The sequence below is a fragment of the Homo sapiens genome, chromosome 9, assembly GCF_000001405.40.
Source record: "Homo sapiens chromosome 9, GRCh38.p14 Primary Assembly".
NCBI classification, from domain to species: Eukaryota; Metazoa; Chordata; class Mammalia; order Primates; family Hominidae; genus Homo; species Homo sapiens.
In genome coordinates, this window is record NC_000009.12 from 33,201,639 (window position 1) to 33,202,885 (window position 1,247).

Genomic DNA, 1,247 nt, shown 5'->3' on the forward strand with positions numbered 1-1,247 from the left:
TGAGAGAAAGTAGGATCATGTCCTTTACATTCATCTTTTTTCCTCCCTCCATTGTGCTGTTTGGAGCATGAGATGGTACCGTCTTAGACTAGGAGGTTGAGGGCTACACCCTAGGAGTTGGCAGAGCTTTGAGTTAGGAAGAACCTGAGGCCAGGTGCAATGGCTCACGCCTGTAATCCCAACATTTTGGGAGATGGAGGCGGGTGGATTGCTTGAGTCCAAGAGTTCAAGACCAGACTAGGCAACACGGCAAAACCCCATCTCTACTAGAAAAAAAAAAAAAATTAGAAAGGCATGCTGGCACATGCCTATAGTCCCAGCTACTCAGGAGGCTGAGGCGGGATCGCTTGAGCCCAAGAGGACAAGGCTGCAGTGAGCCGTGATCACACCACTGCATACCAGCCTGAGCAACAGAGCTAGACTTTGTCTCCAAAAAAAAAAAGAGTATAATCAACAGGCAATAGCTGATAGAAAAAGTAAGGCCTGAGAAGTGGCCCCTGGATTTGGCCCTAGACTGTTGATGACATTAGCAAGAGCAGTTTCAGTAGAAGGGGCAGGGCAGAAGCTAGACTAGAGACTGCTGGGAGAATGAGAATCGAGAAAGTAGAGGGAGCAAGTACTGTCAACCACTTTGAGCAGCATGACATGGTGATCAGGAGACAGTGAAGGCTGTGGGCTCCATGGAGGGTTTTCCTGGCTTTTCTCTACTTTTAGGACCAGGGCAGACAGAGCAAGGGTGGCCTGGGATATCCAATGTCATTCAGTGTTGCAGCCCATCTGGTGGCTGTGGCCTTCATAGCCCTGGAAATGCTGATGCTGTCTCAGAAACAAGGGGATAGTGGGAACCTGGAATAAAGGAGGCTGGAGGATGATTTAGGCTCAGCCAGAGTAGATGCTGTTAAGTCCTTCCCGTTGGGCTGCTCCACACTGGGGTGCCTCTGGGCATCCTTCAGCGAGAGGCTGCCCCTAGTGTCCCCTCCCTCCCCGCCTCTGGTGCTGCCGGCTGCATCCCAGGCCTGGAACCAACATGCCGAACAGCCTCAGCACATCTGCATAGCTGACGTCAAAGCAGACCACAGTTTGTCCTCTGGGGAGGAAAGGGAACCACAGTATGTGTGTTGGTTTCTCTTCTATCTGAAAGCTCTTTCGCCCTTTTCTGCACTCAGGCCCCTGGCTAGCTTTCCTGATGTGCCTCTGGGATTCTTCCCCTTGGCACCTCCTCAACCCCGCCCTGCAGTCCCAGGTTT

General features: G+C 51.9%; 1 annotated feature.

Annotated features, from left to right (window-relative positions):
- Window positions 679-728: an enhancer, noted in NCBI's record as "active region_28286". NCBI's record gives its function as "activates an Ori minimal core promoter by ATAC-STARR-seq in GM12878 lymphoblastoid cells {active_cell/tissue: GM12878}" and the evidence as "EXISTENCE:reporter gene assay evidence [ECO:0000049][PMID:35858748]".